At 38.5% G+C, this 27,519-nt stretch overlaps 1 protein-coding gene across 19 annotated transcripts in view, besides 1 other annotated feature; it reads left to right on the forward strand.

The window, feature by feature from the left end:
* NPAS3 (neuronal PAS domain protein 3) overlaps window positions 1–27,519 on the forward strand; it is an 869,389-nt gene that overhangs the window by 491,285 nt on the left and 350,585 nt on the right. The window lies entirely within an intron of this gene.
* Window positions 26,876–27,432: an enhancer, noted in NCBI's record as "NANOG hESC enhancer chr14:33922151-33922707 (GRCh37/hg19 assembly coordinates)". NCBI's record gives its function as "activates a minimal SCP1, AML or CMV promoter by ChIP-STARR-seq in primed H9 embryonic stem cells {active_cell/tissue: H9 hESC(primed)}" and the evidence as "EXISTENCE:reporter gene assay evidence [ECO:0000049][PMID:30033119]".

Raw genomic sequence — 27,519 nt, forward strand, 5'->3', positions numbered from 1 at the left:
TGCAGACACAGAAGAGTGTTTGCCACCACTGACTGTATTTCAACATCAAGTAATCAGCCAGTAAAGGGACAGAATGAAGATAAGACAGGGATGAACTGAGAAAGGAGATGAGAGTGCAAGAGATTCATGAACTCAGATTCCACCTCCATGTTAAGAAGAAAGCATGAAGAAAAATGTGGATGCAGAAGCAGATAGGCTGCTAGGAGCAAGATTGTAACTTCTCTTGCATTGGGCTCAGATGAAGCCTCCTGGCAGGGAGGGAGGTGTGGTGGAGGTAAGAGCTAAGATTGTGGAGAAGGTTTAAATCTCTTCAGAGAAGCAGGGAGCTTGCTAACCTGGAAACCTCTGAATGTAGATGAGATCATGGACCTCCCTGCGTTGGTAAACCTGAGTTCGGAGTGGACTGAGCTGCCTGGCTATGTCACATGCAACAGAGGACACAGGCTTGTAGCTGAAGATAGTTTGATTACTTTAGGGTTGAGGCTTTGCCAAGAAGAGTGTAACAGAATATCATGAGCGAGGATACTTAGGATATTGTTAAGGGAGAGATTGAAGTGATGAACCAAGGAGTTAGTGCTGAAGAGGAGGGAGAGTGCAGATGGGGTACAGGGGAGGGTTAGTCTATGAGCCCAAAGTCACGTTTCTGTCTTCCTCTTTATACATTTAGTAAGAACCATTCTAAGGAATGGATCAAATGATTTCTGTATTCTTAAGAAAATTACAAGTCTCATTTGTATTATGTCCTCCTCTCACTTTATCATGGAAAGTTTGAGATTTGTTTGAAGGTGTCACATTTGCAGTGAATTGTGGCAAATTTTTCCTTACCCCTCAATTGTAGGACTTTATGCAGGAAAATAAGCCAGAGGCTTTCATTTGGCTTACCTTGACTGCTTTTTGACCTGTTTTGTTTTTCTTTACTGATGGATAACACTTTTTACAGGCATGATTTTGTAGGCCGTGCACAATCTTGGTAAGCCATATGTATAATATAAGATAGAACACTGACTTTTATCCAGCTGGACTTTTTGTGCTCTTATCCTAGCAGAGAGATAGTTACAATTTCTTAATGTACTTGATAACTTGAAAAATATTAAGATTTTATTTTTATGAACACTGTCTCCTAAGAGCTATGGGATGGTCCTTGTTTGAGAAGACGATTCTCTGCTTATATGCATGCAAAGTAGCCACTGTACATCTCAGCTGTGGCCCATACTGAACCTCAAGCCTGTTCTCTCTGCCACCTGACATGTTCCTCCCTAGGTTGTCCTTAAAAAGTACAAACCAGTAGTAATCATATTAATTGAAAATAATTAGGCACACAGATTTCCTGTTACAAACATCATAAAGTAAATTCCACAACCAGAAAGGCATTACTTTTATACGGTGCTGTGTTTTGGAACATCTGTCGTCGACTTCTTTTATGTTCCCCAGTATCTAGTGCCGGAGCATCACCCTCTCCGTGAATGGGACTAAGGAACAGTGAGATGCCCACAGCTAGACATTCACGATGGGAGTAGAGCATAATGAGACTGTGTTCCTGTTGAACTTTGAATCTGATTCTAACAGTGATTACAAGAGAGAAGAGCCAAATACTTTGAATGTCAATAAAATTGTTGGAATATAAATTACACAAGGGCAAGGATTTTGCTGATTTATTCATAGCTGTATTCCTAACACTCAGAAGAAGGGCTGGCACATATAGGTGCTCCAATAATATTTGTTGACTGAATAAGTGACTCTTTGCAGATCAATATTCTTATATAAATTCTCATGTCTGTCAATAAAATAGGTCATATATCTTGGTAGTAATGTTGGTAGTGGAGACCATCATTTCCAGGGAATGAGAAAAAGTCAAAATACATACAGTTGCTATGAATGTTTATATAAACATAGATATTAGAATCTTGGCCAGGCAGTTTGGGTGTTTTGTTATAGTGGTAGTTTGTGTCACAGACAAATTTCGTTGAATATAAGATGAAGAATCTATAGGCTCAACTCAATACATAATAACTTAGAATATACCTGAGGCCTTCCAAAGAGGTTTTTCATTCCATGGAGAGATGGTCTTTGCTGTAAGACACCAGAGAACTGATCTAGTGCATGGATATTAAAATTAGGTAGACCAGGGTTCAATTTTCCCATTCTACCACTTGCTACCTGTGTGACCATGGACACATTTTTTAACTTCTCTAAACTTTGGTGTCCTTCATCTGTACAATGAGAATACTTATATCTATTTCATAGTATTATTAGAATTGAATAAAATATATACAAAATACTTAGCAAGTGCACATAGTGAGCACTTGATAAATGGTAGCTGTTATTATCAGCTGTAATTAGTTCTTAAAGTCTGCCTACAGATTTGTTTATAGATGTATATAAATCCATACCTATGTTTGCTGGTTCTAAATTCAAATAAAGTAGTGTAAATTACAAGGTTGCTAATGTTGAACATTAATGTTCATTCTAGATGAAAACATGAAAATCTTACCTCCTCCAGCAACTAATTTAATCTGGTTGATTAGGAAATGTTCCTTTATGAAAATGATCCATTCACACTTTAAGTGGATGTTTACAGGTGTTTAGACTCACACTGAGCACTAAGCTTAGACTTAAACTAAGGGTGGACGTCAGATCATTTGTAAACATAAACTATGCTATCTCCATGAGAAAAATGACCTTTCTTCAAATCCCTTGAGTACTATGATTGTCATTGATTTGTATAAGATGAGCAATCTTCTTTTCCAGGCTAGATCATTGGTTTCCGTATTTTAAATAATTAAAATCATTCAGCTCTTACCTAGGAAATACTAGCTCTACAATATAGTAGAATTAGATCCATAGATCGCCTTTTCACTATTTTTAAGGAATAGTAATAAAACTAGACACTATTTGGAGAAAAGAAACCAAAATAGCGAGGAGGTTGGAAATTACATCCTTTGCTGTTTGTTGGAGAAACTACAGATGTTTGAGCTAAGGAGATTTAAAAAAAGGTACTGGAGATAAGAGAGTGTTCCTAGTATATTTGTAAGGATGTCATGTAGAAGTGGATGAAATGACACCTTTGTATTCACAGAGGGAAGATTAAAAATAAATAGGTAGATGTTAAAAGATGTCACACTTTGGTATTAGTCAAAAGAACCAGCATATGTAAAATACATAATAATGTTTCCAGGTTCCAGCAAGCTCATGTCCTTCCCAGGCGAATGTAGCTGGTTACGGGTTGAGTCAAAACCCACATATTGTCACTTAAATCCAGGATGGTGGTGGTGTTTAACCCTATGCTATCTCTTGGATCTTCAGGAAGTTTAGATCAACTGTTTAGGGACTTGTACTGTAGAGACCAAGCCCAACGACCTAGTTTTCTACACGCAAATTAGTTTTATTCAATTCTGCAACCATACCCAACATCATCTTCTTAGCCATCTATCTTACAGTTGATGCTGTTGATTAAAACAGAGCACAGCATGTACTGAGGTGTCACCATTAATGAAAAAGCAATTTACAAGGTACTTCCTTTTGACCATGAGTGAGTAATGTCATCCTTATATGAGAAGAACAGTATACTGATTTTAGGGTAAGTTGTGAAGTTTCCCAGAAGCACCATATTTATGGATGTATTTGGATCTCTGCCTATGAGGATGAGCAATGAGGAAGTTCAAAAGAATGAGCTTTAAGAAACAGAACTAAAAAGGTACATTTTGAAAGTTGGATGTTATGATGATATGTGCTGCCTGGCTCTCCACTGCTTCAAAGAATTTGTTCTAAATTGTTTCTGTTTTCCATGTTTCTATGTAGAAAATTGCAAAGCTAAAATTTCTTCCCTATTGCAGATGCCCTTGGGGACTAAATCAAGAGTCTGAGGGCAGAGTGAAGCTCAGGATTCTCTGCAGATAAATGGCTCATCTGGTCAGCTCAATAGGGATGTGACCCCTTCATCATTTAGATACAAGGGGGTGTTGTTAGTGTCATTTATGGAGCTGTTGGTCTAGAAAATCAAAGCGTAATCTGGCTTGGTATTTTAAAAACCTCAGGAAAACGAGGCTTGATGAGGATTGTAAAATAAAAGGTGCTTGTTGTTGCTCTTGCAAGCACTTAGATCAACCCAGGGTCAAAATCCAGTGGTATAGGACAAAGAGCAGACCCAGTTTCCTGCCTCTATTTCTTCCCCTTCCCCTCCCCCATTCTTCTTTTCCTCCGCCTTCCCTTCAGTTCTTCTTTCCTTCATTTTTCTCTAGGAAAGCAAAGAGTAAAATATTTTCCTAGGAGTAGAGAATAAACTGGTAGGTTATAGTTGTCTTTGACTTGTTAACGATCACACTGGCTCTCCTTGGGTCTTTGGGTCATTTATCATGTGGTCCTCGTCTAGGATTTGATCAGATTCTTAGAGCATGGGTGGCCTAGCAGAGTACATGTTATGGCTCGAGTTCTAATAGGATTTTTCCTTCTCCCCTCTCCCAACTACACTCCCACTCCCGGGGTGTCTGCACTGTGACAAGACAACTGTTCCTCACCCAGCAGTTTGAAAGCACTGATTTTGCTGACACTTTGATATTATTCTAGAGACATAAGCCAGGCAACAGAACTGGCATCAGATCTCCTCAGACACTAACGTGAGTGCCCAGGGAAGGTTGTAGATGCACATTTGATTTCCACATCTATCTTCTCCCTGCAAATTAAATTATTAATTTTCCCGCATGTCTTCTTGTTTAATGAGAGGAGTGGTGGCCTTTATCTGTGCACGTGTGCAAACAAAACATCACAGCAGGGGCTCCTGAACTGCCCAGAGAAGCTGAGGGGTTTAAGCAGTCAGATGCAACTGTCTTGGTACAGTCAGTGTCATTTGCCAAAGTCTGTCTGGCTGTTGGCATCATAAACATGGAAGCATGCAGACTCCAGTGCATATCCTCACATACATATCCGAAGATGAAAGCTCCTTTTACAAATACAAAGGAAAGATCAAAAGAGGAAAAATAATGGCATTTAAAATGCACGTGGGAAATGCAAAATTATATAATGTGATTGTTTTTCTGGGTTCCATTAGAGTGGTGCTATTTTCTGAGATGATACCGTGTTGGTTGATTACTTTTCCATGTTTGAGATAATAAGTACTCACATCAACATGATTTTTGATTTGTTACTATACAAGTTCTACCACATCTGGCTTTTCCAGCCTCTCATGTTAACATCTCACTAGTTAAATACATGTATTAACTTTTCCTGGTCTTTAGTGTCACTGAATACCAGGAGGTAGCTCTGATTTGGCAAAAGGTCTACATGTATTCATATAAGTTGTTTATTATAAGAATTACTTAAACATAAAAAATTTATATATTGCTTTTGTTCACTTAAAGGCCATTAAACATTCTTTGTTTTATTTCATGCTATTTGAATATTGGAATTGCTGTCGATTCTAGAACAATGTGATTCATGTATCCTGATTCTAGAGTGTTGACTTTATGGCTGCATGACATAGAACAAAATCCATCTTAGTGATTATGAAGGATTTTAGATTGCTATTTTAAATATTTGTTATCTCTCGCCTTTGTTTTATAAATGTCAATATCTTCTTTAGGGATCTAGAGTTCACCTTTTCTCATCAAGTGAAATGATGTATCCATTTATTAAAATTGAATGTGAACTGTAAGGTTGACCTGAATGAAGAGTCAATTTTGATGATTCTTTTTTTATATTTTAGAAGCTGTTGAGAACTCCCAAATTAAGAACATGATAATCTCTGTGGGTCCCCTCTCCTAACCCCACCTATTACTTACTCTATTAAAAAAATATGATTTTCTGAATTGTTACACAGCCTAGCCTTCCCATTTTTCAAAAATGATGTCACTCAGAAGTCCATGTGAAAGGTATTAGTCTGATCAACTATAGCATTTTTAGTATTACTCATATATAATATGGCATATAATGTGTCATATCATTTTATGTTTGAGAATACATAGTTATTTCTTAAAAACATTAATAGAAATGAGAATCAGTATATAAAGAGAAAAGTACTTTTCTTGTATAGGTACATCTAAATCATTTATAAAGGAAAAAATTCCACAGAGCTCTCACCACCCCTCCACTGGGCAGAAGGGAGCAATCTTTCATTGTCAACTGTAGTTTCTAATAAAAGGAGCGAGTTTGTACAGTCATTGCTTAACAATATATTCCTTTGGGAAAAAATTGGTTTCCCTTTAGTAAAATGTTCCTGTGCATTTGGTTTGTGTTGCTATGTAAGTGTAATTAAATGCACATCTATTTACACAGCTTGTGAGGACTTATTAGTTGGTTTTGCTTGCATTTCATAAGAATATCTGGCCTTAATCACTTTATATTTTCATAGGACAAGTATTATGAAAATCTCATTCACTTGTAAATACATGAAATTACAATCTCTAGGAAAATGGTTTGTAAAACCATTGGCTGGTTTGGAATAAATCTTTGCTAAACCTCAATATAATTTATTAAAAGTACCATGTTGACTCCACTTTGAACAGTGGCCTCATTTCTCATGTTCTGTTTCAAAGGAGCCCTCTGCTGGACAGCTCTGTGTGATATCACATGCACGCATATATTTATATATGATTTATAGGCTATAGTTAATATAACCCAAAAGCCATTTATGATTGAAACTCTATCGTTGCAAATTGAATGCATCACTGAAACCTGTTTTGTCATCACTTTTTCATATTTAATGAACAAGCAGTTGTCTAAAAATAAAATGTTCATCCTTAAAGTTTACTGTAAATCACTGTACATCAGCATATTCCCACACATGAGATAATCGTACTAAATGAACATTCATTACCAATAATTTTAGTAATGAATTATTCAGCTGATATGCAATTATCACACACATTTCTAAAGCAATTACTTTATTACATAGGTATTCCATGTCATTGATTTTACTTGTCTATATTACATATGTAAATATAGAAATCTTTGCTTTTACCATACGTTCAAATGCAAAGGGATTTTTAATGTTTATTTGTTCAATGTCATCAAGTTGTGAGGATGTATGGTTAGTATTAACTACATTTTAAGAAACTTGCAAATGTCAGAAAATTGCTGTGATAAAATGAGGCAGGAACAAATAAACACAACCCAAAAATCGTGGACCATGAGGTTATAGAAATGGTATGTTTTTCTGAGTAGCTTGTCAGTAGGCTCATATTATTATCAATTATATTTTTAAAGCTGCTGTTATTCAAGGCAATGATAAATAACGACTTGAAATTATAGTCCCATGTACATTTAGCCTGGGAAACAAGATGGTATAGGGAAACCACACAGCATCATAAAGCAAACGCAGTCTTTGAACTTACAGAGACTGAGTCCAAATCCTGCCTTTCTGACCCTGAATTATTTAACCTCATCTCCAGAAACAGTCTCAGAAAGTTGTGGTAATGAGAAATGGCATAATGACATATGTCAAGTGGCTAGCACGTGACCAGGTAACTTTGAAATGGGCTGCTGGAATGTTCTCCATACATTTGGAGGCAACTACTTTGTTTCTCAGGGCAGACTTATATTGCTTTTCTTAGCAAGCAGCAGCCAAGATAGGGCCTTGTACTCTTGGACTTCATTTATATGTAGCACACTAAGTATTATGAAACAGAAGTCATAAGTAGTGTGATAATTGTTTTAGGCAATAGCTCATCTTTCAGACTTTGGAGTTAAGCCCTAACTCTAGGTCAAAAGCCTGAAAACAGCCTTTTCTGTAAAACAGCATAACCAATGTGAGCCATGAAAGTTTCGGTCACTGTAGACATCTTTTTAAAAATTATTTTCAAAATGAATATAAATGATTGTTTCAGAACAGTTTAATAAAACATACTAGGCCGGGCATGGTGGCTCACGCCTGTAATCCCAACACTTTAGGAGGCCGAGGTGGGCGGATCACCTGAGGTCAGGAGTTCGAGACCAGCCTGGCTAACAAGGTGAAACCCCGTCTTTACTAAAAATAACAAAAATTAGCTGGGCGTGGTGGCAGGCGCCTGTAATCCCAGTGACTCAGGAGGCTGAGGCAGCAGAACCGCTTGAACCCAGGAGGCGGAGGTTGCAGTGAGCCAAGATTGTGCCATTTTACTCCAGCCTGGGCAGCAAGAGCAAAACTCCGTCTCTAAATAAATAAATAAATAAACAAACAAACACAGTAATCAAATTTCTGTAGTTGGCCAGGTGTGGTGGCTCACACCTGTAATCCCAGCACTTTGGGAGGCCAAGGCAGGCAGATTACTTGAGCCTAGGAATTTGAGACCAGCCTGGGCAATATGGTGAGACCCCATCTCTACAAAAAATACAAACATTAGTCAGGCATGGTGGTGCACACCTGTAGGTCCAGCTGCTTGGGAGGCTGAGGTGGGAGGATCACTTGAACCCAGGAAGTGGAGGTTGCAGTGAGCCGAGATCACACCACTGCACCCCAGCCTGGGTGACAGCAAGACCCCATCTCAAAAAAAAAAAAATCCATAGTTAACAATGAAATAGAATGACAAATGGCATAGACTGAGAAAGTATTGTCAAGTCACTCCTCATTTGTTCTGTCTTTGTTATTCACCCATTAAAATTCACACTGCAGGAAGTTGATTCTTTCTTTTGAACACTGTTTTTAAAAAATGCTACATAAAGCTTTGTGTTAGCTTATATATGAGTTTTTAACAGAAATATAAACAAGTATCAAGAATATAGTACGAGTTGAATAAATTTTGTTTAAATAAATAAAAATTGAATGAACGGATCATTCACTCTTCTAGCAGAAGACTTTAAAATATTCTTCAGTAGATGATGCACCAAGCTAGACTTGCACTGGGAGGAAAATTGTCAATACAGAGCTATAGGGCCAAAGAGTTCAGTAATTTTGAGGGGGGTGTGGTTGGGAGATGGGAACCTATACACATAGCAGCAGCAGAAATGTTTTCAAGGTCAAAAATATTGGGAGGGAATAGACTCACCTGCAGATTGGAGATGTTTAATTCAGTGATCTTAGTCTCTCAGACTTCTGCAAAAGTTATGCGTCCAATGTGAACAGAAACACATTGTTTCTACTCATCAAACACATCAAACACATCTACAAAACATTTGTCCAGTGTGAAATCCATCAGTCATAACCCATCAGCCATCATTAAGTGGATCAGGTGGAAAATTTAGAGAGAAAGAGAATAGATCAAAGGGCAAAACCTGGTCAAATAAGATTGGCTAAAAAGTTTTAGGTTTGATGAGCTTAGCTAGCCTTAAATTGAATATTTGGGATATTTTAATAAAATTTTTGTAAATGTCTTTTAAAAATAAAATCATGTTGCTGTCATTTTGGTTTTCTATTTTGCAAGTGTTCTGGGATCATCCTGTACATAAAACCCAAGTTAAGAGTTCATAATTTTATGAAGTCCTATCTTTGATATTTCTCTTTCAGATAATACATTAATTTTTAACACATTTGGATAATTTCCTGCCTAAATATGTTGAATATAATAGAATTCTGGATTTATGTCACAGAGAATACTTGATTTTTTTTAACCATTCATGTTAAATGATGATCAGATATTGGCTAATACAGAGCCCATAGGCTTCCAAGTTCTAGGCAATGGCTTAGGCCCTGGGACTACATAAATTAGATTTCTTTACCCAAGGGTGGAGACAGACAAATGTATATAATTAAACCAAACATGCTAAATCCTATCTGCCCCCCTATGTCCTGTCCCTTTCGATGTACATAGTGTTATAATGGCTAATGAGTATGATGTTATATTTACCAGTGCCATGATCATCTTCATCATCATCATCCATTTATATTAACAGTGTACACAGAACAAGTGCTGTTCTACCTTCTTGATTTTATACAGAGCAGTGTCCCTTGAGGCCTCGCAGACATCACAGGTTGTCCTAATAAAGGGCCACTGTGTCTGTGAGAAACTGCTGGTGCCCTAGAACAGTAATTCTGCAGCCGATCCAGCCAGCCATAAAAGAGGAGTCAGGCACATTTCTAAGAACCAAATATCCTTTGACTCATTTCTTTGCAGTTACACAAATGTCAGTATGCCTGAAGTTGAGTCATCTTAGTCATAGAAGGGGAGTGGTGGAAAGAAAGCATGAAGAATGGGTGATTTCGAGAGGTGACTCCTTTCTCGTGCATGTAAGTTTACCGTCATGCCAGCAAGTCCTCCGCTGACCAGTAGATGCATGCAAATGTTATCTCTAAGTAAGACAAATTAAACATAGACATGTGCTTCAAGAAGGGCTTCAATAGATACATGGATTTTTAAAAATTTATAATAGCTAATTAAGGGGATCAAGGGGCAAGTGTGGTATATTTCAACACACCTTTAAACCTTTTGACGTTAATATTTTGGACATATTAACTGCTTATTTCAATGACTGTGGCATGTACACATCAGTGTGCTAGATAGCGGAAACACTAAACCACAAAAAGTTCCTTCCTGAAAAGTCTCCCCAAATCTGTTGTCTTTATCTTGTTTCATTGTGTCTAAGATCCTGGAAATGAAACTGCTGTTTTTATAAAGCAGCATTTCAAATATTGTCTACCATTCTGTATCTGTGTTCCTCAAAGGTCAGTGCATGTATTTAAATTTCTCCCACATATTCAAGCATTGCTGTGTATTTTCATCCAATTTACAACCTATTTCTTCAGTGTGAACAATTAATTTTCCTGAATAAATATGTATATTTGGTTCGGATACCCTTGAGGCTCTTGGGGCACAATTCAGATGCATACATGGAAACTGTTCAACTAACTTGCAACTAGTTAGAAATCTGAGAAACCAAGGACATTGACTTTTTTAATTAGGAAAAACAACAACTCTTCCTTATTGAAATTCTAGCTGTTGTGCCTTAATTTCCTATTCTGATGTTTTCATTTTGAGGCTAGTTAGTTCTGGCCCACACTACCCCTACAATTTTGCTTACTTTTGGGCTTTTGAAAAACGTGTAAAATCATCCAATGAGAAGTAAAAACACATATGGAGTAACAGCCTCTAGTGGTGACCACAAGTCTGTGAGCCTAGAGGCTGCAGTCCATGACATGCACGAAGGCAGCGCAGGAGTTAGGTGATTGATATTTGTTGTTGTTGTTATTTTATTTCTATCATTCAAAGCTATATAAGAAGGTATGATCAGTTTCTGTTTTGTGTTATGTCTTCTAATTAGTTGATCTCATCAGCAGTCTGATGAGGGAACTGGTTTTAAAAATTCACAGAGATGGTGATTTCTAATGTAGATTCCTAAGGCGGTATAGAACCAATTTTTCCAAGCTTGCCTGCTTGGGGAAGAGGAAACAGTGCTGAGAAGTTACCTGATATATCTGTGGCCATAGAGAAAGTCAGGTTAAGAAGGACATGACTTATAATTGAAACCCTTGGTCCCTGAGCTTTTATCCACTTAATAGTTTTCTACCATCTGGATTCTAGAGTAGAGTATTCAAGGAATCCAATTGACTGTCCCAAATAGAGTGGCCTTTAATCTTCCCACAAGATTGATAAAGAGAGGGAGAGTCCTTTACTGGAATAAATAGCCCTTCCTTTTGAGAGGACAACCACTTCAGGATTGAGCTGGGTTGAATAATAGAAAAGAAAGTGGCATAATTTGACTTTGACTCTAACTATTGAGTGATGGAAATATTTTAAATACTTGTAGCCCACATAGACACTGTCAAATCGACATTATGGACTAGTATATTCACATAGCCTTACAGAAGTAATGACCACAGCCAGGGCTTCCCTGTCACAACTTTTCAGATGTGGTAGGGTAGACCATGTGTTCAAGGACCAGGAGAATTTGCCAGCCTCTCACCAAAATCTTCATACATTCCAAGGTAGCCTATTTCTTCCCCCTTATTTTCCAGTATATTTCCAGCATTGTCTGTTTATAGTTGTTAAAGTGTACAACATTTAAGTTGGCTAGGAATTTTATAATGAAGATGTAAAGGGGAAATTAAGATAGAAGGCATTGAAGTGCTGAAAATACACTGTATCGCGTTTGGAAAATAATATATGTATGTCAGTCAAATGAAGATAGAAATTTTCTTGATATTTAAAAAAACAACTGATAATGTGACTTCATGTGAAATTTCTTGATGCTTACTGAGCATAAAAAACATAAATGATAATGTGATTTCATGTGGAATTCCTGGTGGTTACTGAGCATAGAAAAGATGACATGCATTGCAGTGAGACAGATCATACTCTTACCCCATTTTTATGTGTTATTGAAATAAAGTGCTGCATGTAAGCAGCTTTTCCATAGTGAAGAGCAGTAAGACTCTCCATGTGGCAGGGAAATGTAACGGAAGGCGAACTACTGCTGAAACTTACCTTTCCTGGCCGAATGGGGGAAGCACAGGGGGAAAAAAAGACATCATAGCAAGATTTTTCAATAGTTAAACAGTAGCATGTGAAATGGAGGCTGAATTGCAAGGCTGAATCAGAGACAAGGAGGGTATTACAGGGTTGTAGAAGAATTGCTCAAAAAGGAAAGGATAACTGCATGATAATTGGGCCTTTGCCGATTTGGATTCTTGTGTTATTAATGGCTCAGCTGGGGTATTTTATTAGCAACGATTCTACCAGCTTGGGGAAGGCATCTAGAATCCATGCTCAGAATCACTAAGCTATCCTGCCTCTAACTGTGGTAATAAATACATGGTATACTCTTTCACCATCAATTTTACCTTTAAGATAAAATAAGAAACAATCATTCCCACAATACGTAAAAATTTTCCACGTTGGTTAATAGATGACAGAGATGAAATGAAAGGCATGGGCACACCTAAAATAAATGCTTCTATTTTTGCTTCTGTATGACATCTCCGACAAGCAATGGATTTTAGCCTGTTGTTGACTGTCAGTGACATACCTACATTTATGAAATTTTTCAACACCATGTAGGCCTGTGGTGCTAAGGTCGGACATGTGAAATACATGCAGGAATTAAATTTCCACAATTGTTCAATTTCCAAACTTACCCAAATTAACAAAGCAATACATAATATTATCTTAGGAAAATAGTACCTGTCTTTAAAAAAAAAAAATCCAAAGCATTTTGCAGAAACTGTTTTTCTAATACATCTTCACTATAATTTTGTGAAGTAAATAGGACATTTATAGGCAGTATTTATTCTACATGGTGGATTAGAAAGCTATGATAGAGAGAGACTAAGGCTGTGCCTGCATAAGCTACAAAAAAGAAAGGAACATTCACTTGTGTATATTAGGACGTTTCATACTGTTCCCAGGGGGCAAATATGTAGTTTGTCTAGATAAAATAAACAGTTGCATGAGTGGTTATACCTTGAAATTCATTGTAGTAAACACACAAGAAAAAGGCCTGAGTCCTGCATCTCTGAGCTAAGATATCATTCTCTTCACCATGGTCATAGTGTGAGGCATGAACTTGACCTACGTTCCTCAGAGCCGAGTTTCTATTTGGAATTGTGGCCATACCCATGCCTAATCAATGAATCTTGAGGAAGAATCTGAGTACTGAAAAATAAGAATTCCAATGCAAAACAATTTTAAATAGCCCTTAAATTTAAAAATAAATGAAACATTTAAAAATGATAAATTAAGACAATTTCAAAAAATGTAAAACCTGCAGAATTCCCAACCAGTTAGTGACAGAAAGCAGTAACTCGTCAGTGCTAATGGACGGTTAAGTTTGCTAGGTGCCTAAAAGAGGCCAGAAACCAACCTGAGTGAAAAATTTCCTCGGTTTGTTACTCATTTGGAAGGAAGATAAAAAATGGAATGTTACGGCTGGGCGTGGTGGCTCACGCCTGTAATCCCAGCACTTTGGGAGGCCGAGGCGGGTGCATCACGAGGTCAGGAGATCGAGACCATCCTGGCTAACAGGGTGAAACCCCGTCTCTACTAAAAATACAAAAAAATTAGCTAGGCGTGGTGGCGGGCGCCTGTAGTCCCAGCCACTCGGGAGGCTGAGGCAGGAGAATGGCGTGAACCCAGGAGGCAGAGCTTGCAGTTAGCCCAGATCGTGCCACTGCACTCCAGCCTGGGCAACAGAGTGACAGTCTGTCTCAAAAAAAAAAAAAAAAGAAAAAAGACCATTGTGGGAGAGTGGCTGATTGTTGAAGCCGGATGGAACCTGTGAAATTACCCAGCTCCTCATGTTACAAATGAGCATACTGAGAAGAGACCTGATCCTGATTCAAGGTACTTGTCACTGGACCATGTTCCCTTTCTTGATGATACACAGAGGATGCTGAGATGGAGGACATCCCCAGCTCAGGGTGGTCTCAAGCCTGGTGAGGGGGAAGCTGCAGTAAATTCTAGTGTCCAATTCACTGCAACCCTGTCCCCCGACCAAGGGTGCTGACTACTTTCGTTGGAGTTTCATGCCACAGAAGGTATTGACCAAAGTATGATTCAGGGTAATGCCAAATGATTATACCAATTCTTTCTTAATAGTTAACTTCACAAATTTGTTATAATTCCAACTTTTTATCATTACAGAAAAGTTTGAAAGACGTGATTCTTTTCTTACTCCAAGGGGACAGGAAATATAGAAAGTCTTGGCCAGGCGTGGTGGCTCACGCCTGTAATCCCAGCACTTTGGGAGGCTGAGGCGGGTGGATCACCTGAGGTCAGGAGTTCAAGACCAGCCTGGCCAACATTGCAAAACTCTGTTTTTACTAAAAATACAAAAATTATCTGGGTGTGGTGGAAGACGCCTATAATCCCAGCTACTCAGGAGGCTGAGGCAGGAGAATCACTTCAACCCCGGGGGGCAGAGGTTGCAATGAGCCAAGACTGCGCCACTGCACTCCAACCTAGGCAACAAAGTTAAACTCCATCTCAAAAAAAAAAAAAGACTGTATGAAGAGCACAAACAGCTGTTTTTCTTACAAGCACATCTTTTATATTTGTTAAGAATGTTTTCCTAGTGTGCCACGGTAATAATGAATTTAGCAAATCATAAAACCCCACTGTCCTTAGATTCCTCTTCAGTAAAGTTAAGCCATTGGACTTGCATAAGTCCACTTCAGTGCTGTGATTCTGTAACTTCAATGTGCACCAGAAGATTGTGGAATAATGTTGGATAGTTGTTCTTTTACTCAATTTCTGGATGTTTCACTTTTAACACTGTTAATTTCTTATGAGAGAATTTTAAGAAATATAATATGCAGATGTATTCTATAAACTTATTATGCATATGCAAATTAGTATTATTAATTACATCACCTTTCCTAATATAAAACTTTATAGAGAGACTTCTGCAACATTCCTTATCCAAACGTTTTAGTCAATAATCCATGTATATTCTAATTTCAAAGCAATAGCCTAAAGTAGAAAAAAAAGATAAAAGAATCTTAGAGTGCAGATAAAATTTCAGATTATCCAGTTAACATTACTTTTCAATAGCAGAATCCCTTGGAAATCTTATTGATCAAAATCATCCAACTGCTGTTTGAATATTTCCAGTGATAGCAAACTTGTTCCCTTTGAAGGCAGCCCATCCTATTATTGTACTATTCGCATTTTAAAAACTGTCTTCTTTATATTTTTCACTTTTTGATTCCGGTTTTGACTTCTGAATCTCTTTTATTTCTAAGAGTTCTTGTATTAGTCTGTTCTGATGCTGCTAATAAAGACATATCCGAGACTGGATAATTTATAAAGGAAATACATTTAATGGATTCACAGTTTCACGTGGCTGGGGAGGCCTCACAATCATGGCTGAGGGCAAAGGAGAAGCAAAGGCACGTCTTACATGGTGGCAGGTAAGAGCACCAGTGCAGGGAAACTCCCCTTTATAAAACCATCACATCTCATGAGACTTACTCAAGAACAACATGGGAAAGACCCTCCCCCATGATTCAATTACCTCCCCCCAGGTTCCTCCCATGACATGTGGGAATCACGAAAGCTACAATTTAAGATGAGATTTTGGTGGGGACACAGCCAAACCATATCAGCTCTCTTCTACAATTTCTCCCTTAATTATTTCATGATTCCTCGTATGACATAGTTTGCAGATTTCTCGATGTACTACTTCATACTCAGTGTACCAATATTCTTATGTGGTCTCAGTAGGGTGAAGACTGGGGGGAGGACTAAATCCTTGATCTAAAAATTATACTTGTATTAACATGGCTTAAAAATGATACTAGCTATTTAGCAGCCACTTCACTGTTTATTTGTCTAACTTTTGGTGAACTAAAGTTCCAGATCTCAGTCATAAGAATGACAGTCAACTGAACATGGTGGTGCCTGCCTGCAGCCTCACCTACTCAGGAGACTGAGGTGGGAGGAGGGAGGATTGCGTGAGCCCAGGGGTTGGAATCCAGCCTGGGCAACAGAGCAAGTTCCTGTCTTAAAAAAAAAAAAAAATTAAAAAACTACAGTTAAGCCAGGTGATACGGTTTGGCTGTGTCCCAAATCTCATATTGAATTGTAGTTCCCATAATCCGCATGTGTTGTGGGAGGTAATTGAATCATGAGGGTGGTTCCCCCATGCTATCCTCATGATAGTAAGTTCTCATGAGATCTGATGCTTTTGTAAGGGGCTTCGCCCTTCACTTGGCTCTGTCTTCTCCTTGCTGCCGCCATGTGAAGAAGGACTTGTTTGCTTCCCATTGTGCCATGATTGTAAGTTTCCTGAGGCCTCCCCAGCCATACTGAACTGTGAGTCAATTAAACATCTTTATTTTATAAATTATGCAGTCTCAGGTATGTCCTTATTAGCAGCATGAGAACAAACGAATACACCAGGTTTTCCCCATCTTGTATTTAAGGAAATGATTTGTTAGCGTCAGTTAAGACTTGACATTTAGTTCTGCTGCCTCTAAGTTTAATGTTTTCTGAACCTTGTTTACTTAAAGAGGTAAGGTTGAATCTTGATAATTTGATAATTTACCCTTACCTGAGTTCTCTCTCTCAAATACATTTTATCTGTATGAAATGTCTTTATGAAAACATTGTTTAAAATGTGGAATGATTCAGGATAATTACAGAGCAAATCAGTAGAAGAGAGAGCCCTTTACAGATTGACCAGCTTCCCTCAGTTAACACTGAATTCCTTTACTCAAGTTATTATTGCATTGTTCATAGTTATTACTCCATTTAACTATATTTTGTCTTCCACATTTTCCTCAATTTCAAGTCTATCGAATATGCTGCTAAAAACATCATTATACTTAAAGGGAAAATTTGACTATATATCTAGAAACTCTGTTAAAAAAGGAAAAAAAAAAAAGTTAATTCACCAAGATTTGTAATGCATGCTTGCTGCCTCCCAGTGATCACTGGTTTCTTTTACAGAGTTTTCTTAATTTCATATTTAATAAAATGTTCCAAAGATTGCTAACTTTATGTATTGAATGAAATTCTATTAGTTTAGCTGGTAACTACTGTCCCCAGCAGCTGAGAGGCTCAAACAAAAGAGCACCAGTAGGGAATCCAGTTGCATGGATCTTGTCCTGGAAGATACATGACATGCCTGGAGGTGCTCACCCCCTCCACACACGCTAAGGAGCCCAGGCAGAGAGGGGACCAGTGGGCCAAAGGCTTTATTGACTCCAGGGCATTATCCAAACAGATTTCCTGCAGGGGAGCTTTAATTGCAGGGTTTAAAGCAGCAGCCACTAGTTCCAGGAGGTCACGCTGTGACTGAGAAGGAGTCACTTTAAGTTTGCAGGCAAATGTCTGAATGGTCCATTTACAGGAAGTGGCAGGAAAGTGGGGAGCCCAGCCTGCTAGGTGGAAGAGATGCCTCTGAGTTTTATCTCTGGTCACCAGCTGGAGCCATTCGGGTAGGGTATAATGTTGGAAACTGTGTCAAGGGTGACTGAGACCTGCTTCTGGTATGAGAAAGTTAACCTTTTATGTGAAAATAGATGCTGAGGCAACATAAAATTAAAAGCACCCACTGTGGTACTGGATCTTTTGATTATGGCTTGCCTACATCATGGAACTTGAACTATTTAATTTGGTACATTTGTATTTTTTTCCATTTTAGTAGAAGAAATTTACACTTTGTCTTTTGGAATCTTCAAGTCACCTTGAGAGACATTCGATTTAGAATCCCTAGTCATGGAATTATGTCTGTCTGTTCACTATGCATTAAGAATCTGTATGCCTAAAACTCAGGGCGTGGGACTGAGGATACCCAGCCTTTTCTTTCTTTATGATGATGACCACAGTTGCAGTGTTACAACTTTGTTTAAGGTTCTTGTCTATACCTCCTCCATGTTCCTTCCTCTTTTTGTCCAGAAGAGAACAAGCAGGGGGTGAAAACTTGCCAAACAAGTCATGTGAGCAGTGACGGGATGACATGGGGTTGTTAAGCCTGGGGAAAAGAAAGTTTGTGCAAACAAAGTAACTGTCTTCGAACATTTGAGAGACATTGAGTTGAGGTAGAAGAGTTAGTTTGAGTCTGCAGATTCAGAGAAATTTGAATTAAGGCCAGTAACTAAGCAAATTTTAATGTCATTATAAAGACATCTTGGTCTAAACTGGTGAAACATGGAATGACCCATTTCCTGACCAGCGTCACTGGAGGGTCCAAGGACTACTGGGGCTATCCCATGGCAGAGTCGGGTTAGATGGAGTCCATGTGGATCGGCCTGGGTAGTGTTCACGATTCCTCCAACCCTGAGATCACATGATTTTTATGCTTTATATATTTATATCTTGTTTAAAAGAGATCTAAGGAAATGCTATGAAAATCAGTGCACATCTATTCACATTCCCCTTTTTCCTTCTAAAAGTTGAAACTGCCTGTAAGGCAGGAATTTATCAGATGCTCTGCTTTTGCCCGAATGTTACTCCCAACAGATAGTCTAATGCTTGAGGTTCCCTCATCATCATCTTATCATTCTGCTACCCAATTTAATTATCTGCTTTCGGAAATCATCCTTCTTATCCACCATGCTATGATCTTCTCTCACAGCAACTTAAGTATTTTTTATTTAAACCAAAATATTCTCCATTGTGTTCCCACCTTCTAGGATTATTTTCTCCTCAGGTTGTTTACATTGTTTGTGTTTGTTCACAACAGACTGTACTATTCTTCGGCACTTGGTTAATTGTATTTATTTTGATCAATACACACCCTCTGTCATTGTTCTCCATGCATGAGTCACATCGCTCTGAGTTGAGGTGTATACTGCTTATTCCTTTGTGTTAAAAAAATTTCTATTATTCTCCTTTATGCTAATATTTAAGTTCATTTTGTTTTATTGTCAACATTTTACATATTACTATATGTACTTCAAAAACTAAGTATTCGTAGCAAAACCTCTGTTATCATTCCGTCTTTGTGAAACTCACTGTCTTCTACTACAGCTATTCTCCTGTAGAATTTTACCTGTTTCACCCCAACTCTGACATGTGCCTCCAATTTCTCTTTGAAATATTTTTATATCTCACATACACATTTCCTGATCTTTAGAATAATTTCTCTATCTTGAGCCAGATGAGTGAAATATAACTCTGTTATACAATTGAAAAAACATTTCCAATAACAAAAAATATGTTGACACTATTCTCTTGACCAGCTTTCTCATACCAAGCCATAACCTCAAGGATGAAGATATTTCCCCAAGGCCTTCAGTTTCAGACCCAGAGCTTTAAATCTTCAAGAGACAATTTGGAACATTTTCTATAACTACCATTTATTCTCTCTTCAAGTCAACCTACTTGAATAGGAATTTGCAGGTTCAGTGGCATATCATTTTAAGCAAGAATGAACTTCTTGGTTACCCATGTTGAATAACCAACCCATTGTTTAGGAGACAGTCACCAGCTGACCCACCAACCTTCTTTCTCTGGAGGGTACACAGGGACCTCCCTGGGCTGAGGCCTGTGCCTCTTCTTTGGGTAAGGAGTGTTGCACTTTTTTTTTTTTTTTTCAGAAGATCCAAATTTAACTGCTATGGTCAGTGCCATTTACAGTTTTTGTGGCTTTAGTGAAATCTAGTTTTCTCTTATCTTTTTCCTCAATGATAGCTTCAATTCTCTAATCTTCTGATGTTCCGTTTGAGTCAACATCAACCCCACTGAAATCTTTTCTTCCAGTTTTCATCTTGGATTATTTTTTCCATCTTCTCTAGGGACACTTCATGCTTTCTTTTTTTTTTTTTTTTTTTTGAGACGGAGTCTCGCTCTGTCGCCCAGGCCGGACTGCGGACTGCAGTGGCGCAATCTCGGCTCACTGCAAGCTCCGCTTCCCGGGTTCACGCCATTCTCCTGCCTCAGCCTCCCGAGTAGCTGGGACTACAGGCGCCCGCCACCGCGCCCGGCTAATTTTTTGTATTTTTAGTAGAGACGGGGTTTCACCTTGTTAGCCAGGATGGTCTCGATCTCCTGACCTCATGATCCACCCGCCTCGGCCTCCCAAAGTGCTGGGATTACAGGCGTGAGCCACCGCGCCCGGCCACTTCATGCTTTCTAATAAGCAAGAGGATACATAGATATTCCTGAAATTCTTTCATGTTCTTTACTAGATAGTTGTATCTCATTCCTCCCTCGGAAGAGATGGAGAAAAACTTGTTAGCAGTCTCAGCAGAAAATTCTTGAGATGGCTCAGGAGTTTCCATTGAATCATCCTTGGTCTTTTTCTTTTCTTTCTTTCTTTTTAACTGCGTAATTCTATTCTATTGCCTAATGTCTTATAGGATTTATTTTATAAAATCTTTATGACTTTCTGTCAGTTGTATTCATGTTTTCTATAGCATTAGTTACAGAGAACAAAATCTATTAAGTATATTCATGTATGATCTGACCAATGCTGCAAAATGAGATAATATTTTCTATGCTACCTAGTGTTTTCTAATATGTTGATTTGAGGTGAAATACTATGTTTGAATCTTACAGCAGGCTCATTAACTAATACAACTACGTTTGTATGTAGCTACCTATTGCATAATGCATCTTACAAATATTTACCAAATAGCAATATGCACGAGATGCTATTCTGAATGGTGGGATATACTTATGAGCTAAGCAGGTGTCTTCATCTAAAGAAGCTCACAATCTGTGGAGAGAGAGATAGACCTGTAATAGCAATCCATTGTGCTGAGTGCTATCACATGGGCATATGCAAAAGGCCGTTGGGGCCTAAAGGACTATCTTAGCTTGGTGGTAGAAGTTCAGAGAGTCTTTGCAGAGGATAGTACTTGTAAGCTAAGTTTTTATGGGTGGGTAAGATGTCACATGAATGAGAGAATTCTAAATGCAAGAAATGTGCAAAGGCACAGAAACACAGAAGAGCATGTTGTACAACCTGGCTATAGTTTAGATTTTGTGTGTGTGCTATGAGAGTGTGCGTGTGCTGTGAGTGTGTGTGTGGGCGCACGCACGCATTTGTAGGAGGTAGGGAGAAGAGTGCCGGCATAACATGAAATGATATTGGACCTCAAATGGTATGCTAAGATGTTTGACAATTTTATTCTAAGCAGTGAGTTTTTAAATTTAGACATGCAACTATAACATGAAAGAGGATTTCGATATTAGGAGTAGTGTGACCACTATGGAAAGAAGAGAAAATAGTGAGGGCCTAAAACTAAGGTAGCAGCAGGGGTGAGAACAGAATTGGCTGGGCAAAGTGGCACATACCTGTAATGCCAGTGCTGTGGGAGGCTGAGGCAGGAAGATTATTTGAATCCAGGGGTTTCAAGCCAGCCTGGGCAACACAGTGAGATCTTGTCTCTACAAAATATAAAGAAAATTAGCCAGGCATAGTGGCACACACCTATAGTATGAGCTACTCAGAAGGCTAAGGCAGGAGGATTGCTTAAGCCCAGGAGTTCAAGGTTAGAGTGAGCTATGATTGTGCCACTGTACTCTAGCCTGGATGAAAAAGTGAGACCCTATCTCTTAAAAAAAACAAAAACAGAAGGATTAAGTGACATTTAGAAAGTAGGAGAGATTGGATTTGGAGACTGAGTCTCTACATGTGTGGCAGAGGGAACAGTTAGCCTCCAGCACGTCTGGCCAGAATATTTGGGTAGATAGTGATAATGATAAGTATGAATTATGTAGGAGGAGGGATGGAGAAGATTATTAATTCGATTGGACAGATAAAAAATTTGAAGTGCTTTTAAGACATATGTTAAAGATGGGACTGATTAGGGTTGAAACTTAGGAGGCTTAGAGATACAGATTTGAACATCATTTGAATTTGTGTAGGTTGTAGTAAAAGTCATGCACTTGGATGAGATCCTCTAAGAAGAACATATAAAGTTTTAAAAGAAGAAAATTCAGGGCCCAGAATCCTAGGGAACTCCATAATTTAAGGGGATAACAGATTTCATCTCTCTAAAAGACAGTCCAAAGATAGAATAGGAATCTTGAAGAGAGTAGTGAAGATTGGAAATGGCAACTGCAAAAGAAGCTCGTGAGCTCCATGCGGAAGGGTCGCTGAGGGCAAAGTGGTGCTGAGGGCCCATCTAGGTGTTGATAGCATACATTTTGCATCTTACTTTATTCCATGAACTGTGCTTGATACATAGCGCTGTGGTTGTCCTTACCAATTTAATGATGTTTCTGATGATCATTGTTCCTATTTGGCAAGATTACTTTAAATTCTGAGATTATCTTGCAAGGAAGAACTTCATTTGCACCTAAATTTTGGTGGTCTTTATCATAATGAGGAACATCTCTCTGCCATCATCTGGATCCACGATGAAAATATCAAAGTGCCCCTGAGACAAGGATGAAACGTTGCCGAAAACTGCTGTCCCTCTTCCAAATGTCCGTACAGATGTGAATGAAAAATAGCAGCATACAAGCATCTGAACTGGCTTGGTCAGCCCAGCCTGAGTGAGCAGGCCAAAATCTGTCTGCACCAGATGCCAGCCAGGTCCAAGAGAAACCCCAAACGATCTGATAATAAAGAGGAAACCCTGATATGTCTGTGGCCAAAAATAATTAGCAATGGAAATGGAAGGGCACTTAAAGGAGGAGGAAATAAAGGAGGAGAAGGGATTTTTCAAAAAGAATCTCTGGGCAGACACTCAAGGAGAGTTAAACACCCCAACCGCATAGGCCTCAAGGGAGCAGGTAGAGGTGACATTGTCTGCTGTATGTCCACCGAAAAGAGACTGCAGGAGTTCTGGACAGAGTGCACATTCACCCGAGTGATAAGGCAGAGGCTTAGGATGACTGAGTATGTTGAGTCCTACATGTCTTCCCCAACTCCATCCTCATATTTTAGGAGTTATCTGGGTAGATGGAATAACCTCTATCTTAGTACAAAAGTAAGTGGACTACATCCCAGGGGCCAAATCCAGCCCTCTGCCTGTTTTTATAAGTAAATTTTTTTGGCATACAGCCACACCAATTAATTTATGTGTTGTCATGGCTGCTTTCACACTACCACAGCTGAACTGAGTAGTTGCAACGGAGGATGTATGCCCTGCAAAGCCTAAAATATTTACATTCTAGCCCTTTACAGAAAGCGTTTTTTTGACCCCTTAGTATGAAGACACTTTAGCTTGAAAAACAGCTGTGCCTAAATTCATCTTATATGATTGAACCACTTTATAGCATAAATACACAGACACCCACACACACATATACATGCACACACATGCACACACACACACACACACAGAGAAGAAACTGAGAATTTAAATGGCTAAAAAATGCAATCTGCATTCTGACTCTGAATTATATTTTTTAAATGTTGCATAGACTTTGTTTGGATTACCCTCTTTTATTCCCCCCCAGGCTCTGTCTTAATCTTCCTAAGTGAAATCTGTCCTTTGCTTCATGTTGTCTTGTAACCATATTTCAATAGCACTTAATCAGTGATAAAACTGCTTTGATTTATTCCCAGCTGTGGATATTATTGTTGAAATCTGCGTAAGTGTTCCGACGTGTTATGATTGGAGCAATAGCATTTAAGAGTCCAGAGGCAAGTCAGAAAATTAACAACTGAGTTTTCTGATGCCTAAATTAACTGCACAGACAGCGCTGAGTACAATGAGAAAGTTCTGTAGAAACTTACTCGGCAGTATGTAAAGTGTTGAAATGGCTCACCCATTAAAAGTATTACATGGTGAGGACAAGTTCTCATTGGATATACTTCTTACAGGCAGTGCCACAATTTCATGTAAAGGACAGCTGGCTGCTCTTCTGGGACACTTTTCTTTATGCAACATATACATTGTTGTTGCTAAAGCATCTAACGTGATGTTTCTCGGTTCTACAGCAAAACTGAGCCGCAGTAGGTGCCGTGTGGTAGGTTCTGCTGATGCATCTGCAGTCATCGGAAAAGAAAAAAGCCATATGATTATAAAAGCAATCTGTATTCATTGCAGAAGCGTAGACTACAGAAACACAAAGAAAAGCAAAGTGACTCATAATCCATAATCGTAGCACCTACAAATAACAGCTCTTTGGTGTCTAGTCTCCCAAACTATTTTTTTAATTCCTGTGTTATTCATGAAATGAGATAGATCCTGAAAAAAACATCTGAGTCTAGATGATATGTGGAATAATATGTTCTCAATTTTTCAGTTAAATTTCTGGCACTTTATTTCTTCATGGAATCTTTCCTTAAATACTGTTGTTATTTCGCTGCCAGATTGCTTGTAGTTTGAGTTGTACTGTATGTTAGAGTTGGCCATGATATTTTATTGTTTGCTGTTTTTCTAAATCTGAATCTGTGTGAATTGGAGAGAGAAGTTTTCAATACATATTTTAATTGCTGTTGGTTTTACTCGACTCTCTTCATCTATTGTTTACAAATATCCCCAAATACAACTAGATGTTATTGGTAATTATTGATTGTCATGGTTGCCAGGCATTACTGGACCTAGAGTTCTTTTTTACTACATAAAAACTCAAAATATTATTTTTTCATGAGACAAATATGCTTTAATGTCTATAGGAGCTCTGTAACTGTCATAAGTCTTTTTACAATTTGAAATAATGGTATTAGATCGTTTCCTAACAAACGCTGAAAATGGCTACAACCTTAAGTTGTGTAGTCTTACTCTATTATTGTGGATCAAATTGTTTATCGTTCCAGCTAGACTTGGAGATCCTTGAGATCCAAGATATTTTATCTCTGTGTTTTCAGTACCTTTTCTAGTCTCTGGCACATAAAAAATACATGCCTAATAAATATTTGTAGAATACAAAATTACTTGCCCCAAATCATCAATTGATACAGCTGTGCCTCCTTATTTGCTCTGCCTGCCCCCATATTTCCCCTTATGTTAAACAATACGGTACAGTGGTTAAAAAGTAGGTTCTTGAGTTCAAAGTCTCTAGGCACTTTTAGTAAAGTTTAAATCTGAGCCTTCTCCACTTCTGAGTCATGTGACCTTGGCAAAGCCTGTGGACCTCAGTCCTGCTATTTGTAGAATGTTGACAGTAATAGAACTGACAGCACAGAATTATTGCAGGTGAAGTGAAATAATACCCTGAAGTGCGTTGCCCATTCTTGGTGTCCAGAAACTGTTACTATTTATTTTCCTCTCTCTCGATCATTTTCATACATTGAAATAAGCTATGATAGACACTTTATAAGTTTTAAAATGCTTTTAACATGTATAACAAATATTAAAAATGTATGCTATGACAATACGGTTCATTGTTATGGTTTCTTTAGGTTCATTTCACTTTCATGGATTTACAAGCACTGTAAATCTTGGGCCTGTTATCTTTGCACATTTTCTTGTGCCCATTTTCATCTAAGGAGAAATTAAGGAGTAGAGAAAGGATGTAAGTCTCCTTAAGGCTACTCAGAATTATAAACAGTAAGAAATAGAAGTTCTATAGCAAGATTCTTAAACTGTTGAATAAAATCTTCCTTTCCTATAAAAAGACTGTTCTGAGTATCCATACAAGTATCATTTATAACCACAGGCAGGGTATGTATGGGCTTTGATTTCAGGTGCTGTGTTTTGCTGAAGTCTGCTAACAGCCTCTACATCAAATTCATAATGATATTAAAATCTATGGTTCTTAGAAAAAGAATGGTTGAGAATGTGTTACAAAAGCAATTTGTCTCATCATGTTAATGTTGATGCCCTCTTATCCCAGAACCTGGCTGAAGCTGGAGTCAAAATCTATATTGGTTTAATTTTAAGTGGCCTTGTGAACAAGTGCATTCAGGCAATGAAGGAACTGAAAGCTACTTAGACCACCCAGGCTCCTGGTTGTGGACTCTCGGATGGGGCTGGGCATTGTTAAAGGAGGTTGAACCTACATGCTTAAAGTTTCTGTGAAGGAGGAGTTGAATTTTTAGGACAATGTCAGTTGCTTTTATTGTAATCATGGTGACAAACTGAATTTATTAATGAGCATAATAGGATTAGATATTTTTAAAAGCCTCTAATTTTCTAGTTTAATTTGAAAGGAGCTCCTTAAAAAGTAGACAAATGCTTTCCTGCAATCTTTTAGAAGAAAGAGTACATAGAGACTGATAAAGACAAGTCATGGCCGGGCGTGTTGGCTCATGCCTGTAATCCCAGCACTTTGTGAGGCTGAGGCAGGCGGATCATGAGGTCAGGAGATCAAGACCATCCTGGCTAACACGGTGAAACCCCGTCTCTACTAAAAAATACAAAAAAAATTAGCCAGGCATGATGGCGGGTGCCTGTAGTCCCAACTACTCTGGAGGCTGAGGCAGAAGAATGGCGTGAATTCGGGAGGTGGAGTTTGCAGTGAGCCCAGATCGTGCCACTGCACTCCAGCCTGGGCGACAGAGTTAGACTCTGTCTCAAAAAAAAAAAAAAAAAAAAAAAAAGGCAAGTCATAATGTACAGCCTGATGATGTGTGTGACCAAAGGTGGCAAGTAGCATTGATCATTAAATAAAAATTAAGTATATGTATTCCTATTCAAGTGTAAGCTCCCTCTCTTCTTGTAATTATGCTTGGGTAAGCATGGTTTCTTATTGTTTAAAAAATGAAAGGAAATTAGGTATCCGAGAATGGCTTTTTCCCTTGCTGGGAGATAGCAACTAAATGACATGATCGTAGGTGACAGAGGCTCCTGATTCCCTCACAGATGCCAGTGGACCAGGTTCATTTTGAAATGAGCCAGGCAGGCTCCAAGCTCAAGCTCACCCTTGTTCAGGTGTGCCGGCCTCACCAAGCCCCCGCTGCTCAGTGAGGTGAAGAGTGCTTGATCTCTCCCATGTTCATCTCAGCCAGGGGTCTATTGTTAAGACCTGCCTGAAAGCTGGCAAAATGACATTCCCTGGTGTGATTGAGTTTTAATGTAAGATTACAACCATAGATCAAAGTGAGGAGGACATTTGGGCAGGGGCTTTCAAGAATTTTAGAGCCAGAGCATAAAGAAGATAATTATACTGTATGATTTAGGGTTGTTTCTGCATGTGTCACTCACAAGCAAGGCTTGTCCTCTAGTTTATAAAGGGCTTTGTGGGTTTTTTGTCCTTCCCAATATTTCCTATTATTTAGTATCTAGAAGACCTTTTAAGGGCTATGATTAAAGAAACCAGAACTGTTCTATAAATGGCCTTTCCTGATAATGATGATCAGTCTTTTAGACAGACAGCGTATTCTGGATTT

Source organism: Homo sapiens, chromosome 14 (genome assembly GCF_000001405.40).
Source record: "Homo sapiens chromosome 14, GRCh38.p14 Primary Assembly".
Classification (NCBI taxonomy): domain Eukaryota; kingdom Metazoa; phylum Chordata; class Mammalia; order Primates; family Hominidae; genus Homo; species Homo sapiens.